This window comes from Homo sapiens, chromosome 3 (genome assembly GCF_000001405.40).
Source record: "Homo sapiens chromosome 3, GRCh38.p14 Primary Assembly".
Taxonomy (NCBI): Eukaryota; Metazoa; Chordata; class Mammalia; order Primates; family Hominidae; genus Homo; species Homo sapiens.
Genome location: NC_000003.12, coordinates 24506550 through 24523267, shown reverse-complemented (window position 1 = coordinate 24523267; position 16718 = coordinate 24506550). Strand labels below are relative to the sequence as shown.

The following is a 16718-nucleotide window of genomic DNA, read 5'->3' as shown; positions in this document are numbered from 1 at the left end:
CAGCTTAAAACAGGCAGGGCATTAAATATTGAACCATAGAGCGAATGGAAATTTATTTGAATCAAATTTTTAAATCTCACCCACCCTCCCCCCCCCACACACAAAGGAACTTCAGGATCTGCGGTCACCTATGATAACATCCACATTTTACTAAAGAAACAGAGTCAGGAAAATAGGGTCACTTGACTAGCAAATTAGTGGCAGAGCAAATTTGCTAAGGTCAGTTCACTACCCTTCTTTTTATATTGCTATTACTATAGTTTCTGGACAGTGCTTCAACACTTCCCATTTTGTCTTTTATTGACTTTTTGTAAAAAACTTATAATTAAGGGGAAATTCTGAGTATATGATACACGTGTTTCTTTGACCAAGTAAAAATAGGACCAAGTAAAGGAAATGGGTAAAAATCGAAGAGATGCAGTATTGGCGAAATCTTTATTTTCCCCCCCCCAGGGCAAGCAATGTTTATGGATTGCTAGTCTTGGAACATGACTGCGAGCTGCTGCTTCTGTGGCCCCCCACTTTCTGCAGTTTCCTTCCTTTTTAGTCCTTGGTGTTTCCAGAAGTTATCACCACCTGCCCAGATGAAAATTAAAATCACTTCAGGACACTCAAAATAGGATGTCTTCCTCTGTGAAATGATCGAGAAATTCAACGGCCATTTGGTGATGCCGTCACAATTAAATCTCACAGCAGAACCCACTATCCTTTTGGACAATCTGACCTTTGTACTATCCTCTCACTCAGACCCCAGGAAAGGGGAGGATTTACCAGCCCTGTGGGTGGGGGTGGAACCTGGGATGTGCTGCTGTTACGGACCCTGGGCTCAGCAACCTACCCTCCACTTCCCTTCCCCCCACGCCTCCGCCCAACACACACGCACACACAGTCCAGCCTCCCACCGGACACCTAACCTCAGTCCCCCCTGCAGCGCCAGGAGGAATAAGTCAGGAGGTAAGAGCCCGCCCACCGTGGAGCCTGTAAGGCTCTGGTCGCCCCCTCCAGCGCTGGGCAGTGCAAAGGTCTGGTGACTGCGGGGGTCTTGGGGACAGGAGCCGCTAGCCAGCCGGGCCGGGCACGCCACTGGTGAGGTTAGGCCTATTGAAAATATCAAATCGCCTGCGCCAGGATAGACGCCACACATGCATTCAATGTCAAGGGCATTGGAGCAAAACTTGGAGACGCAGGACTCGGAGTGTCTCTTCCCTCAGTGCCGGGTCTGAGCTCGCGGGGGAATCTCCTACTCTCTTCCCGACCAGGCGCGGGCCTCGTGGGGCCCCCACTCTGTCGACCTCGGTCTCACCCGCTCCTCGCCCGCCCGCTCAAGGTCCCCCGGGCCCGCCGCCTGCGGCCCGCCCTTCCTCCGCCGCCGGGTCACTCCGGGACAGGCGCCCTACCCCCGCTCTCCCCGCGGCGGGAGCCCAAGGCTCCAGCGGCTGCGGCGGCGGAGCCCCGTGCCAGTGCCGGGCTTTGAACTCCCGCGCGACACTGGGACCCATCCCCAACCCCCAACCCTCGCGTCCCGGCTCCGGGCTCCCGGCGACCGGCGGCCGCGACCACGGTGGACCCGGGGCTCGGTGAAGCCCCTGGCTGTGCCCCGGGTGGCCGAGTAAAGGGCGCCACGGTGAGGAGACGGACGGCCGGCGCCCACGGCTTGGAGGGGCTGCCTTAGGCTGCAGGACTGAGACTCGAGCTGCTCGCTCGGGCTTTACACCTTCGGTGTTTCTTGCTCTGAAGCTCCCTGAGCCCGGCCCTGGCTCTACGAGCCGGCTGAGAGCGCTGGGCGGCCCCTTCCGGGTCTCGGGACTCGAGTCCCCTCCGCTGCGCGTTAGGCAGCCCGGTGAGCGCTCGCTGGCCTGGCAGTGCGTCGGAAGAACAGGGCGGGTGGGGCCGCGCACATCTCTGCAAGAGTGAGCTCCTAACTCTGGGGCTCCAAGCTCCCAGCAAGTCTTATTTAATGGAAATGTTACTGAGACTGGCTACACTGTCCTGGGGAAAACCCCATGCAATTGTTGTAATGTATATTTCATTGCAGTATCAAAGGTGCCTGGTGCACAGCTAGATGCTTGTTCACGAACTTCACACACCTGTTTAACTAGCAGTCACACCAAGCAACAGAACATGACCTGCACTCTCAATGCCCCCTCAGCTCTTTCCACCAATCGGGGCAATCCCTACCCTGCCTTCCAACACCAGGACTAGTTTTGCCTGTTTTTGTACTTTATGTAAATAGAATCATAGAGAATGTGCTCTTTTGTGTCTGGTTTGTTTTCACTCAATAGCATGTTAGTGAGATTCATCCATGCTTTTGCCTATGGTTGAAGATGGTTGTTTCTCATTGCTGTACACAGTATTTCTTTGTATGAATATACTACAATTAGCTTATTCATTCTATTTTAATGAAGATATAGGTAGCTTCCAGTTTTGTGGTTGTTACAAAAAATGCTACTGTGAACATTCTGGTACATGCCTTTTGGTGGGCATTTTTGCATTTCTGTGGATAAATGACTAGGAATGGAATTGCTGAATCTTAAGAAGGCATTTGCTCAGCTTTGGTAGACATGGCCAACAGGTTTCCAAACGACTGCACCTGCTTACCACTTATCAACAATGTATTCGAATCCAGTGACTCCAAGACCAAGTATTGATTGAGGACCTACTGTGTAGCTGGGAAAGAGCAGGGAGCAGGACACACTGAGCCCCTACCCTCAGGAGTTCCAACAGGAGACAGACTATACACACCTCAGCAAACACCCAGACAAACTACTGCCTAGTGGAGGTAAATGCTGGGAAAATAGTAGAATTGGGCCATGAGATGGAGAAGGGCACTTAAAATGGGCTGGTTGGAAAAGGCTTCTGTGAAGGGACAACTGAGTCTAGACCTCAAAGACAAGAAGGAACTCTGGATAAAGACAGGGCATAGGCAGGAAGTCACCCCAATCTCTCCTGCCTTTTTTTGCCTCCGGGTTTATCAGACTCCTCAGACTTGGGCAAAACCAAGTTGCGGTTTCCAAGGTCTTCAAGTTCACTGTGCTGCTGCTACTTGGGAGGGGGTAGGGGGAGGAAAATCCCAGGAAGCCTCTGGCCAGAGCACCCACCTCTCCCAGCCTCTGAACTCCCAGACACTTCTTTCCCAATATCTCCACCTTCTGTTGTATGGTTAGTGCCCGTTATGCTTTATGCCCGCACTCCACATTTTGCCAAGTACTTTACCACTTGAACCAATACTTCTCACTTCTAGTTATTGGTGAGGTAGCCTGGTGTTAGATACACGGTGAGTCCCTACGAAGGAAACAGACAACATGAAAACATTAACATGCCCAAGGCCAAAAGGCGAGTCAGCAAAAGATCAAAGGAGGCTCCGGACAGTCCATACCACCCTCTAGGCACTGTGCTGAGGACTTTTATACAGTGTCCCTTTCATTGCCACAGCAAACCCGCAAAGTGGGCATCATTATCTCCATTTAACACCTAAGGAAACTAAGACAAGGGAGATTACCCAACAAACCTGAAGTCACATAGTTAACAGTCGGGGAAGTCCAGACGCAAACCCAGAATTGTCTCACTTTGAAACCCGGTCTCAGGTCAGGTTTCCTAGAAGCAGAACCTGTGACCAAGATTCATGCTGAGGCGATTTTCGTCAGGAGTGCTTTTAGGAGAAGAGTAAGGGGAGCAGAATTGGGCAGGCGAGAAGGTGAGCAAGACTGTCATCCCTACTGGAGACTGGCTTTAGTCTGTCCCACTAGGAACATGAACTACATCACAGAGTTAGTTTCACTTTGAAGCAAAGGGGGAGGCTTTTGTAGCTATTGTCATGCAGCCCTGGCAGTTCTCCAGAGAAGGGAACATCTTCGAGTCCTTAGCAACCAACACACCACAGAAGGCGAGGGAAGTACCAGATCAGTGAAGGGGCTCCAGCGGGAACCAACAGCACCCGCTGTGCCCAGTCTCAGCTTGTCTTTGCCCCAGGTTCCCTTGGGATACCCAGGATGCCCAGATCACTCCCTGCTCCAATCACTGCAGTCTTCCCACCTATCTGGGTTCGTGAACTTCTCCTACACCAGGGGTTCTGTAGGAAGGGTTTGTTAAAACTCAGATTGCTGGGCCCCACCCCCGGAATTTACAATTTAATAGGGCTGAGTGGGATCTGATGATTTTCATTTCCAACAACCAGGTGATACCTTGCTGCTTGTCTGGGGTGCACTCTTTGAGATCCACTGTTCTGCAGCATCATTTTAGGGCATTACACCTCTGACATCTAAGCCAGACTAATCTGTCAATGATCCCTTATTTTAACTAGGTTATCTGGACAATATGCTTCCCCAAATAGTTACTCTTCTGGTGGTAATATGAGACTCGGTGGCAGATAACTTGGATACGAAAGTCTTCATGGCACCCTCTTGGTGATGCCAGTGATTCAATCCAACCAAAAAGAAAACTGGGAACTCTAAGCGTTAAAGGAAAGGCTTGAGGCAAAATACTGAATTAGCCGAAATTTCACCATCACGTCCTGAGACTCTTATTCTACCTTATGTGTCTCCTTTTTCTAGATTCCACTCTTGGGCCCAGAACATTTTATGCTGAAACTGTCTCATACCTGTTCACAAGTGATTTGAGCCCATCTCCTCCAAATGGACATTAAAATCAGCCAAGGTGCAAATATTTACAGCATGAGAATCAGCAAATTCTAAAAAACAGGAATCTTTATTTCCAGAGAGCTAGTTACTAAACTTTTACCACGTACCACTGCATCACCAGATCCTTAAAAGCCGTTTGAAAAAAGATTAACAAACTCACACCAATGTATAGTTGACAATAAAATTTAATACTTCTGTGTGCCAAGCACATACCTATTATGTGCCAGCACTATGCTGAGTGCTTTCTCATGTTTTTCTTTTATTTTCACAATAACCTACTGAGGTGTTTTTATCCTAAGAGAAAAATGAGACTCTCAGAAGTTACCTGACTTTCCCAAGTTCACACAACCAGTTATTGAGGCTACACCAGCTTTCCAAGCCACATTGACTAATGCCAAAAATCTAGGTTCTTTCTACTGCTGCATTCCTACTTACTTGTAGTTTGAGAGACTAAGGAGACTAAGTCTTAAACCAAAGAAATGATTTTTTTTAATGCAGCAGTTCACAAATGCTTCGGTCTCAAGACCCTTTCATACTCTCAAAAAGTATTGAAGACCCCAAAGAGCTTTGATTCTGAGGATTATAAATAGGATATATAAATAGCATCAATAAATAGGATATTATAAATAGCAGCAATAGTATTAGAATGGAAAATGAGTAATGTTTAAAATATTTTTACTAATCATTTAAAAGTAGCAATGATAAATCCTTATGTGTTAATGTAAAGAACATGTTTTTTAAAAAACAACTATATTTTCCAAAATAAGAAACTATTTAGTGAACAAAAGGCATTATTTTACATTTTTGCAAAAGGTTTAAATGTCATTTCTTGCTAATAGAACATCACAGACTGGGTAACTTTAAAAGAAAATAAATTTATTTCGCTCATAGTTCTAGAGGCTGGGAAGTCCAGGATCAAGGGGCTGTATCTGTAGGGCCTTCTTGCTACATCGTAACATGACCGAAGGACAAGGAAGCACGTGAGGCAGAGAGAAAAATGGAAACCAAACTTCATCCTTTTACCAGGAGCCCACTCCTGAGATAAATATCCAACTCCTGCAATAAGGGTATTAATCTACTACTTAAAGGCCCCATGTCCCAATTAATTTATCCAATTAAATTTCAACATGATTTTTGGAGTGAGCATTCAAACCATAGCGTTTAGTTTAATAGTACAGCTGGAGTCCCGTAACTGCTTCTGCATTCAATCTGCTGTAGTATGTTGTTTGAGTTGAAGTATGTGAAGAAAATATGACCATATCCAGCTTGGAAAGGCAGGATCTCATGGACCCCCAGAAATGGTCTTGTAATCACTTTGATGACTGCTGATCTAATTATTAGATGTCAGGCTCAGGACAGTGATGGGAAGACAGTAGGCTTCAAACTTTAGTCCATCCAATCTTAGGAGTTAAGATTATTTAGAATTTGACTAAGCTAATGAGCTAAATGGCTATTTTATAAGGTAAACATAAGAGTTCTCACTCTCTCTCTCTCTCCTCCCTTTCTCTCTTTCCTCCTCTCTTTCTGTCTTTTAAAACCCAGTCACTGCCCACCGATTTTCCAAATCCCAACAATGGCATTTGCAATACCATTTATTCATTCAGCAAATGTTTATTAAGCATCTAATATGTATCAGACACCATACTAGACACTAAGGATATAAAAGTATGTAAAACATCCATAATGACTGCCTCTTTGGGGCTTACAGTTTACTGGGAGAGACAGGCTATGACACATACAGAAATGTGCAGTGCTATAAGAAGATAGTGAGAGATTTTCTGCAGGAGGAAGTCTTTCCTGAGGAAGTGCTAAGGGGAGGCCTGAGGATTCCTAGAAGTGAATTCAGAAGAGGTGGGAAGGAAATGGGGAGCTCATATGGTAAGACTAAAAATGATGAGAAATAAGACCCATAGCCTATGTCAAGGATTTGGCTCCTAAAAAAAACAAAAATCAAGTTTTTAGTGGAAAAGGATGTGATGTGATGAGACCATTTAGAAGGCTTTTGAGTAGCCTAGGCAACACAAGGTCTAGAGAAGCTTCAGCTCACATGGGTGGAGGGAGATTAAGACAAGTGCACAGATTTGAGAGATGTCAGAAGGTAAAACTGATAGACATCAATGCTGAGTTGGATATGGGGAAGGAGAAGGTATCAGGGATACCTCCCAGATTGCTTCAAACATCTATTGAACACCCACTATGTGTCAGTCACTGCACAAGGATCTGCTGTCACAGCCAAATAGGAAATGGAATTAGATTTGACTAGAAGTAATAGAAAAATAAAAACTATTCATTTCTTAAATGAAATAGGCCTTTCTTTTTTTTATCTTCTCTCATTTAAAAGTCTATAAGCCCAAGTTCCAGGATCCTCCTTCATGAAATTTAGGATCCTCTGACTTTGTTGCTCCCCAAGGCTGGACCTCCATTCCCAAGTCCCCCCAAGATGGTTTCTCCAGGTCTGGCCATTGTACAAATGTTCAGCCATCATGAAGAGGAGGGTGAAAAATAAAGGACAAAGCATAAAGGAACTTCCCAGATGCAACCACACAACACTTCTTTATATGTCCATTGCTCAGAATTTATCCGGTAGCACCAAAGATGCTGAAGGGATGCTAGGGAGCACAGACTTCATTCTGGGGAGCCATATGTCCAGCTAGAAATTTTACTGCCAAGGAAGAAGAGGAAAAATATAATGAGGGACAATATAGTTTTCACAAACACAGAATTAGACACAGGTGCTCCACTTTCGAGGGCTTACAGCAGTCTGAGGTCAATGGTTTCCATCTTGTGCATCTCAGTTTTCTTCAACTGTCAAACAAGAGTTCCTACTAGGTAACTTCTGTAATTTCTTCCCACTCTAGAGTACTGTGAATCTCTACACATCCATGAGGGATTGTATAACTGTTCATTTTTCAAAAGTGCTGATTGTATTTGATTTGTTATAAATGAATACATTTTGCTGAAGACCAATTTTCCTGCAATGATTCTTTTTGCTAAAGTTGGCTTAACTGGAATCAGTAGAAAGTGATGCTTTTGCTGACTCTTTGTGCATCTGATGCCTTTGTTTTGTGAAAAATCAAATATTAATATAATGGAAAAACGTAAACTTTTTATAGTTATTTGAATTAACCGTGTGGTCTGAACAATGTTAGAAAGAAGTATCACTTCTTTTCAGAAAACATAAAAAACAAACACTTCTTCAATAAAAAACAAATAATCCTCAATTACAACATGTTTAATGGTAAACAAAAAAATAAGGAATTATTTAACTTATTATTCCCTTCTCCCTAAATCTATCTGATTTGAAACGGTTGGAGTAAAGGACAGATCACCTGTTTTGGTTTCGTTTCTCTGTTTGTTGTGATACTGTTATTGTCAGTGTTGTTTCAGTTAACTCCAGATTTAGATTGAATTTCCCCAAGGTGCTGGAGAAAGAAGATAACCCATAACAGTATTGGTTACCCACAGGAAAAGAACTTGGATTTATAATTTGCTAGGATTAGACCACAAAGTAGATAATTTATAATTCAGTTTGTCCAATCCTGACTTTTGTCACTAGACTCTTCTTAAATCTAGCTAGCCTTACACACACAAAATGGCCACATAACATTGACTCTGATTCCAATTTTTTATTGAATTAATTTAATTAGTATTAAGGCATGGTGATAGTTCTCATTTCATTTTGTATGCAAAACTTTCCTGATTTGATTTGATGCAATTGAATACTTTAAGGGACTATAGTCATAGGATTCTGTTTTCCATAAATGAGTAATTAATTTTGTTCAAAATATCTTAAATATTACTAAGCATATTAAAAGAAGGCATTGAATATATAAACTTTATTAAAGCACTGCTTAAATCATGAAACATATTTCTTGTTAAATTAATTTAAATAACAAATTTAGTAAACAAGTTTATTTAGAGGTATTTTCTCCTCCAATATAGTGACTCAAAAACTAGCAAGAAAATATATTTTAAAATTACCTTTCCTTATTGTTTTCAAGCTAAAATTCATGCACAAAGGTTTTAGTGTGTATATATGTGTCTGTATATGTAAATAAACATCTATTTTCCTGTGTGAAGTTATTGCCCTGCAAGAAAACATGATTTATATCAATTTGGATGACTTGAAATATCTTTTATGAGATAATTAAAATATAAACTGTTCCTAAACTGTTAACCTTCCGGTAGCTTCATAAATGTAGCAGCTGATGACATACCATAAAGTACAATTTGTCAACTTTTAAGATATGAGCTAAGCTTGCTTGTTCAGATTTGGGCATAGATAAGAAACTTGACTCAGTCTAGTTTTATAGTTGCCCAGAGATTTAAATAAGAAGAGATGATTGTCTATCACAGCTCATAATAATGCACTTAAATTTAGAGCTCCAAATACCCCCACTCCCCAGTCGGCATGCTTCTCGAGGCCTTCGGACTGAAAAACTGCAGCTGTGTTTATGTGGTAATTTAGAATCCCTATTACATATGCAAGCAACTGGGTTCCATGGCTCAATCACAATTCATTCATTTTGCTTTTTTTGTACCAAAGAAATAAAATCAGAGAACTCTATAGCATTATGGCCAGCCCCGAAAAATCACAAAAATCAGGAGTTTGAAAATGATAGCCCCACAAAACCCACAAATCGTTTCCATTTGCCATTAAAGTTCACAACAGAAATTCCAGATATATGTAGTTAAGGTGTGTTATTCAGTTCAGCAAACATTTAGTAAGACAAGAAAACATGTAGCTATAGTAGAATAAATTAAAACATGAATAAGGAAATGCCTTTACTTTGAGGATATTGAAGCCTAAAAGAAGATATTTAGAATCAAGCACCACGTGTCTGTTTGTGAGCATGAGAGAGAGAGAGAGTTTGTGTGTGTGTGTGTGTGTGTGTGTGTGTGTGTGCATGCTTTATGGAGAACACCAATAAATGAACTGAGTTTGTTCCCAGATATGAATAAAATTCTTGAATACTTTTCTTTGGGAATGTTACAAATCTGTGCAGTCATATTATTTATGATTCACATAGCAAAGATTTTTAAAGTGTTTGTTTATTGTCTAGATCCACAGTGACCCTAGCAAAAGTATCTGTAGTTCATCTTGTTAACATATACTAGCCAGAGTCTGAAAAGTTATGTAGAAATTGGCTTTTGTGCAAATGGAAGACTATTTTCATGATGCTTAATAGCTAACTCAAATTCAAATTTTAAAGTCATATTCTAATTCAGGTGTTTTTTTATAGATCTGGGCTTTTCTGATATTGTTTTTACTTATTGAATGTGTGTGTCTATAGTGTGAGGGGGAAGTACCAGCATCTTATAAGGAAAATCATTTTACTCTAGAACATTCAACACTTTTTAAAGGTGCTATAGAGAAGCGGAACTTTTATAATCATTTTGGAACATAACATAGACTCCTTCTAATTTACTCGTGGGTTGCATTTCAGATGTTAAGTTGATTGGTATGCAAAAGTTGCTACTGGAAATAACCTCTTACATGTTAAGTTTTCAAGAAAGCACACAAAAGCAATTCATTAATCTAAGATATGGCTCTGTCATAACTGTTCCTAACTACGTTTTTTTCCCTCTAACTTTTGAGCACTCCTGAAGTGGGGAATCAACAGCCCTCTTGTCTTTTCAACTCAGTAGGCAAGGACTTTACAACATCAAAGTCACAATGATTGCTAAACCAGGGCTCCTGAGGTGATGGGAAAGGGGCTGGGAAGGACAGCTGAAGGGCAGGACAACTGAGCTATAAGGGATGAGATGATGGGATGGAAGGCAAGGGGCCTTTTGCTTTCTTTTCTAAGCAGTTATGGAAAAGAACTGCTATTACTGAGATTGATAAATGGAAAATAAACATCAAGCAGTATGACTTCATCTTTTTTTGTTTTTTTTTTTTTTTTTTTTTTTTTTTTAGACAGGGTGTCACTCTGTCGCCCAGGCTGGAGTGCAGTGACATGATCTGGGATCACTGCAACCTCCGTCTCCTGGGTTCAAGCGATTCTCCCCCCTCAGCCTCCCGAGTAGCTGGGACTACAGGCATGCACCACTCTGCTAATTTTTGTACTTTTTGGTAGAGATGGGGTTTCACCATGTTGGTCAGGCTGGTCTCAAACTCCTGACCTCAGGTGATCTGCCTACCTCAGCCTCCCAAAGTACTGGGATTACAGGCATGAGCCACTGCGCCTGGCCTGGCTACATCTTATAAACATTTTGCTCTCGAAACAATTAGATAGACATATGATTGATTGATTCATTGATTGAGATGCATGATAGGAGCTTTGAAAGTGATGAGAAAAGTTAAAGATACACATGCAGGCCAGTAGATACAGGCCGATTTCAAAGTCAAATTACATGAGTTCTAAACCCTGATTCACCACTTGGAAGTTGCACGACTTACAGCAAGTATTTAAATCTGTCTGGGCCTTGGTTTCCCTATCAGAAAAAAAAAGAGATAATAATAGAACTGTACTGAATTCATAGGATGTGGTAACAGAGTAAATGAGATAATCCATATAAAGTAATTAGCACAATGTCCAGAACATAGGAAGTGCTCAATAACAGCCAACAGCAGCAGCAATAACATTATTTTTATGGAACATAGTTGAAAGCTGCAGGGATATAGAAAAAAAACATATTCAGTGGGAGGGTAACTAGATTTGTGACCTTGAATGGGTCATTCAATTTCCTGGGATCTCATCTTCCTCAGGATATGTCTAGATAAGCCAGTGCTTCTCAAATGTCAATATGTGTGCGATCACCTGAGGATCTTGTTAAAATGAAGATTCTGATTCAGCAGGTCTGGGGTGGGACCTGAGATTCTGCACTGCTAACATGTACCAGAATGAGGTTGGTACTTATGGTCTGGGTACTACACATTGAGTAGTAAAGATCCAGATGGTATCCAGTGAGTGTCTCTTTCAGCTTCAATCCAGTTTATAATTAAGACACTGGCCCATTTTTGTATATAAAGAAAGAATGGGGCCGGGCGCGGTGGCTCACGCCTGTAATCCCAGCACTTTGGGAGGCCGAGGCGGGCGGATCACGAGGTCAGGAGATCGAGACCATCCCGGCTAAAACGGTGAAACCCCGTCTCTACTAAAAATACAAAAAATTAGCCGGGCGTAGTGGCGGGCGCCTGTAGTCCCAGCTACCTGGGAGGCTGAGGCAGGAGAATGGTGTGAACCCGGGAGGCGGAGCTTGCAGTGAGCCGAGATGGTGCCACTGCACTCCATCCAGCCTGGGCGACAGAGCGAGACACCGTCTCACAAAAAAAAAAAAAAAAAAAAGAAAGAAAGAATGAAAAATTCAGGTTCACTTTTGAGAAAAATTAATCTCATATTAACATGGGAATTTTGTCTCTAGAGCCCCAAGAGATTGGAAGAGAAGGTCAGGACTCATCTGAAGGGTCAGATAATTGGCTGCTGAGAAGGTGGACAATGGGGGATGATTCCTGATGAGGTCCTCAGGACAGAGGCATTTTAAGTTGGGAAAGTTTTTTTTTTTTCTTGATTCTAGAAGGCAGCATGGCATCGTAGTGAAGAATGAGGGTGTGCGTACGTGTGTGAGGGGTGGAGGGGCGTGTGTATGTAATCAACTATACCTGGACGGTTATCTCAACTCTGCAACGTAATGGCTGACCTTGGGCAAATTTCTTAATTTTTGTCAATTTCATTATCTCATCTATAAAATGGGAATAGCAGTACTTTGTTGGACTCTACTGACAAGTGATATAGGGCCTAAAGTACTTAGCACAAGGCTTACATGCACAGGTAAGTGGCCAGATAATGTTGTCTATTAAAATTATCATCATCGTCATCACCATTAACATTACATTAGGAATGCTCGAAGGCTAACCATTATAATCTTAATTCTATTTTAGCTTTGACAACAGTGGTTCTCAAACTCCAGTGTGCCCCAGAATCAACTGGATGGTTTATTAACACTGATTGCTGGGCCTCATCCTCAGAGATACTGATTCTGTAAGTAGATCTTCGGTGGGGTCTAAGAGTCTGCATTTTTAACAGGCTCTCAGGTGATATGACGCTGCTGGTCTGGGGACCACATTTTGAGAACCAACAATCTACAGAATTACTTCCTATAACTGGCATGATTATTAAGTGATGATGAATCTTTGGTAAGTAAATTTTCCACACAAGTGAAGGTTGCCTCAGATGCGACACTTTCATTTTAATTCCTTTTTGATGAAAACTTTTCTAAAATGTATCATTTTTATTCTTATATATGTGAACAAGGGGCTCTTAAATACCACTTAGCTTTTCTTTTGACTGAAGTTATCAAATAATTCCTCTTGGTTTCAGAAGGGATAAATAAGCATGGTCTTTTGACTTATGAACTTATTAACCTGAGCAGTATTTCCGGACTGTGTTCCTGAAGGGACAGTCATAGATCCTGAGAAGAGATAGTAGTGAAACTTACAAGTCAGCACGAGTTCCCTGAGAATAAGTAGGTAAAGCTAACTTTATTTCTTTTATTGTTATGACTACTAGATTGGTAAATTGGAGAAATGATATAGGCATAGATATTGGACTAGCCAGGCTTACCAGGCAATACCAAAATGTGTTGAGTTGATTAATGGATGGGTGCCAACCTGGGTAGATATTGCTTGTAGAGTGCCAGAGAGTTCTGTCTTTGGCTTTGTCTAATTCTTTCTCAGTTATTTGGATGAGCCAGAACATAACCCATTCCCATTCCTCAGGGGTATGAAAACATAGACAAGACCACTTGACAGACAATAAAGAAAGGGTGTGAAGGACAGCCAGAGGAGACTTTGAGGGCCCAAACAATCCAGAACTCTGATTCTCTGATAGTTATGATCACTTGATTACCTGTTATGATACTGTAGTGTAATAGCCAAAATAGGTATGTGACTGCCTTAGAGTTTGTGGTCTTTGCTGCCAGGATGACAGCAAATTAACCTTAATTTTCAAGAACACATCTCTTGCTGCTCAATCAAATTTTATCCTTTCTCGTATGTCTTCTTTCAACCTGCTCTTAGATTGCTCTTTCAGCTCTACAAGGGTCTGTGAAACCAGATAACTAGACTTGACAAGAAATATAAATGCAACAAGAGTAAGCAGACCAATGGAGAACATAAGGGACCACTTGTTTGGAGTTTGGCTCTAGAGTCTCAGAGAGTGTTTTCTCTTACATTTATGTTCCAAAGGAATGAAACGATTCAATCTTTGGCCTCCTGAGCTTTCATATGTTGGTATAAGAGACTCAACTATCTTCTACTCAATTATCATTCACATTTCAGAGAAAATTGTATTTATTTTATTGAATGATGACTTACCAAAAGGTTGCTACAAATTAATAGAAGATGAAATACATAATGCTGTATATTCTGCTCGAATATATTCATTGTTCAATTAAATATGGTTGCAAGCACAATATTAAGACAACTGCCTTGTATTCATGTATATACACATACCCTATAAGCCCTGCTTTCTCATTTGCTATTGCCAAGGTGATAGCTGTTAATGACAGATGGGAAAATGTTTTAAATAGAAAGGAATTTGGAGGAAACTAAAATAAATCTCACTTTACTTCATTATTCCACATCTTCTTTCCCTGAGTGGCAACATATTAATGAGGACCCTCTTAACAATACATGAGTTTTATTTGATAGGCTGTCTGATTTGCGCTTATTTCCCATAGGCAATGGGTGTGTGTAGTCAAGTCCAGGTTAGGGTCAGACAGGTTTTTCATTTATCTTTTCTAATGACCTGTAAATGTTCCACTGACTTGGGCTTTTATTTCGGAAGTAAACATTTTGCTAACTAGTCATGGGTCATGTAGGCACATTAACAACTCCCTGCTAATTTATCATCATTGCGTAGCTAACCTCCAGTAGGTAAACTAGGTCCTTTTTGCTCTCATGATTTTATGATGTTGGCAGTGGTAGTAAGTATGCATTACTTTGTCTCATCCCCAACCTGAGAAAATGAACCTTTTTACAGTCCTTTCAATCTGATCACACTATTTTAAGTGCTGATGTATTCTGAAAAGATGAATTGTTTTATGTTGCAATGTTTCCACTGAGTAATAGAGTATCATGTGGGTGAGGGAGGAAGAAGTATAGAGTTACAAATTTAAATACACTGGCTCTCTATTCAGAGACTTCCATATAAGGGAGCAAGGTGATACTATAAAATATTCAGATGTATTCTAGGGGTACTGTGTGTTTCCTAGATTATCAGTTTCCTTTGCTACATTTCTGGGGACTAACTGCCAACATAAGAATTGTAGATGATTCATAATTAGTAAATGTGCTTTTTTTTTCTTTGCAGCAATATTTGTAAAAATAACCTTATTTTTGGTACATTTATTTCTGTCTATTGGGCAATTTGTGAGAAATATATTACTTGAAATGTCATGCTTCAGAATTTTTTTCTTTTCATCTATTTTGAGGAAAACATTAAGGTTCTGATTTGAATTGTTTTAGGATAGAAATGTATTAAGTAACATATGTTATTAATAAGCTCCATGTTTTTCTCTATTCTCTATAAGGTGCTAAAACATGCCAGACAGCAGATTCTTAATCTAGAAAATTATTTAAGCAGCAGCAACAAAATTCAAATTTTCTGACAGCGGAAGGTAGAACAGAAAGTTCTCAACTGGGGATGATTCTGGCCCCTGGGGACATTTGTGGAGACATTTTTGGTTGCCTCAACCTGAGGGGGTCAGGGGAAGTGTGTTCTACTGGTATCTAGTGGGTCGAGACCAGGGGTGCTGCTCAACTTCCTGCAGTGCAAAACACAGTGCTCACAATAAGGAATTACCCAGCCCAGAATGTCAATAGTGCTAAGACTGAGAAACCTGGGCCTACAACTGTTTTCAATACAAATACAAATGAAAATGAGGGAGGCAGTCTGAACTTTACACACTGGATCAAGATCCTTTTCAAAGGTGGAAATAAAGCAACCCTAAAGGAGGAACTCCACCTAGGGTACAAGAAGAGAGGAAACGTTTTGTTCCTTTGTGTTCCGCATGTCATTAGGAAGTACACATGGGTGGACTATTACATTACAGTGAATCATGACCATGTGTTCATTCTAAACATTGTTGTATTTGTTATTCCTAACTTTAATAAACTGTAAAATCTGAATGTGGCATCACCAAACACCATGAAATGTGTTCTCCCCTTTTCCAATAGTGCATCAACTAATGGTTAAATGTGATCTTTAACTTGACAGAGTCTATGCAATCCTTCCACATTTTATTCGGCTTAGAGATCACAGCCTCTAGAACAGAATGATAATTTAAAGCAGATGTTCTTCTAAACTATGTTTCACTCAAATCCAGCAATATGATAAAGGGAAAAAATGGGGAAACATTGATGGGGCTTCAGGATAAAGGGTTTTATATTTTTCACAATGATTTGAATGTTAGTTCTCTTCTTTTTCAGGCCACATTCTGGTGTATTCTCTCATGATTTAATTACATGTTACCTGTTGCTTTAGTCTATCCTTTCTGATTTACTCCCAGTTTCTATTTCATTTATATAAGTGTGTGTATGTGTGTGTGTTTGTGTGTGTATTTATATATGTGTGTATGTATAATGTATATGTATACACATGTGTATATATACACATTATATATAATGTATATGTATACATGTGTGTATATATACACATTATATATAATGTATATGTATACACGTGTGTATATATACACATTATATATAATGTATATGTATACATGTGTGTATATATACACATTATATATAATGTATAATCATATATTAATCATTAATATATATCACATATATGGACAATATATAAATGATATATTGTTAATATATATACCAAATATATAATAATATATTCTATTCATACCTTGACTCCTAACTGAAATGTTACTTTCTCAGAGAGGCCTTCCATGACTATTTCATGTAAATTAAATACCTTCATACATTACCTTATCTATCACATTCTTTTTTCCTCCATTTATATATATATATATATATATATATATATATATATATATTATATATGTACATATGTATCTTTATATGTCTCTTGATATACTTTTTTTTTTAGACAGAGTCTCACT

General features: G+C 40.5%; 1 long non-coding RNA gene across 1 annotated transcript, besides 1 other annotated feature; it reads left to right on the top strand.

The window, feature by feature from the left end:
* Positions 1-873: 873 nt before the first annotated feature.
* LOC107986011 (uncharacterized) lies at positions 874-15771 on the top strand. The gene is made up of 2 exons (XR_001740424.2): positions 874-954; positions 12523-15771. It is a non-coding gene; the product is annotated as an uncharacterized LOC107986011 (long non-coding RNA).
* Positions 3481-4093: an enhancer, noted in NCBI's record as "OCT4-NANOG hESC enhancer chr3:24560666-24561278 (GRCh37/hg19 assembly coordinates)". NCBI's record gives its function as "activates a minimal SCP1, AML or CMV promoter by ChIP-STARR-seq in naive and primed H9 embryonic stem cells {active_cell/tissue: H9 hESC(naive and primed)}" and the evidence as "EXISTENCE:reporter gene assay evidence [ECO:0000049][PMID:30033119]".
* Positions 15772-16718: the final 947 nt, after the last annotated feature.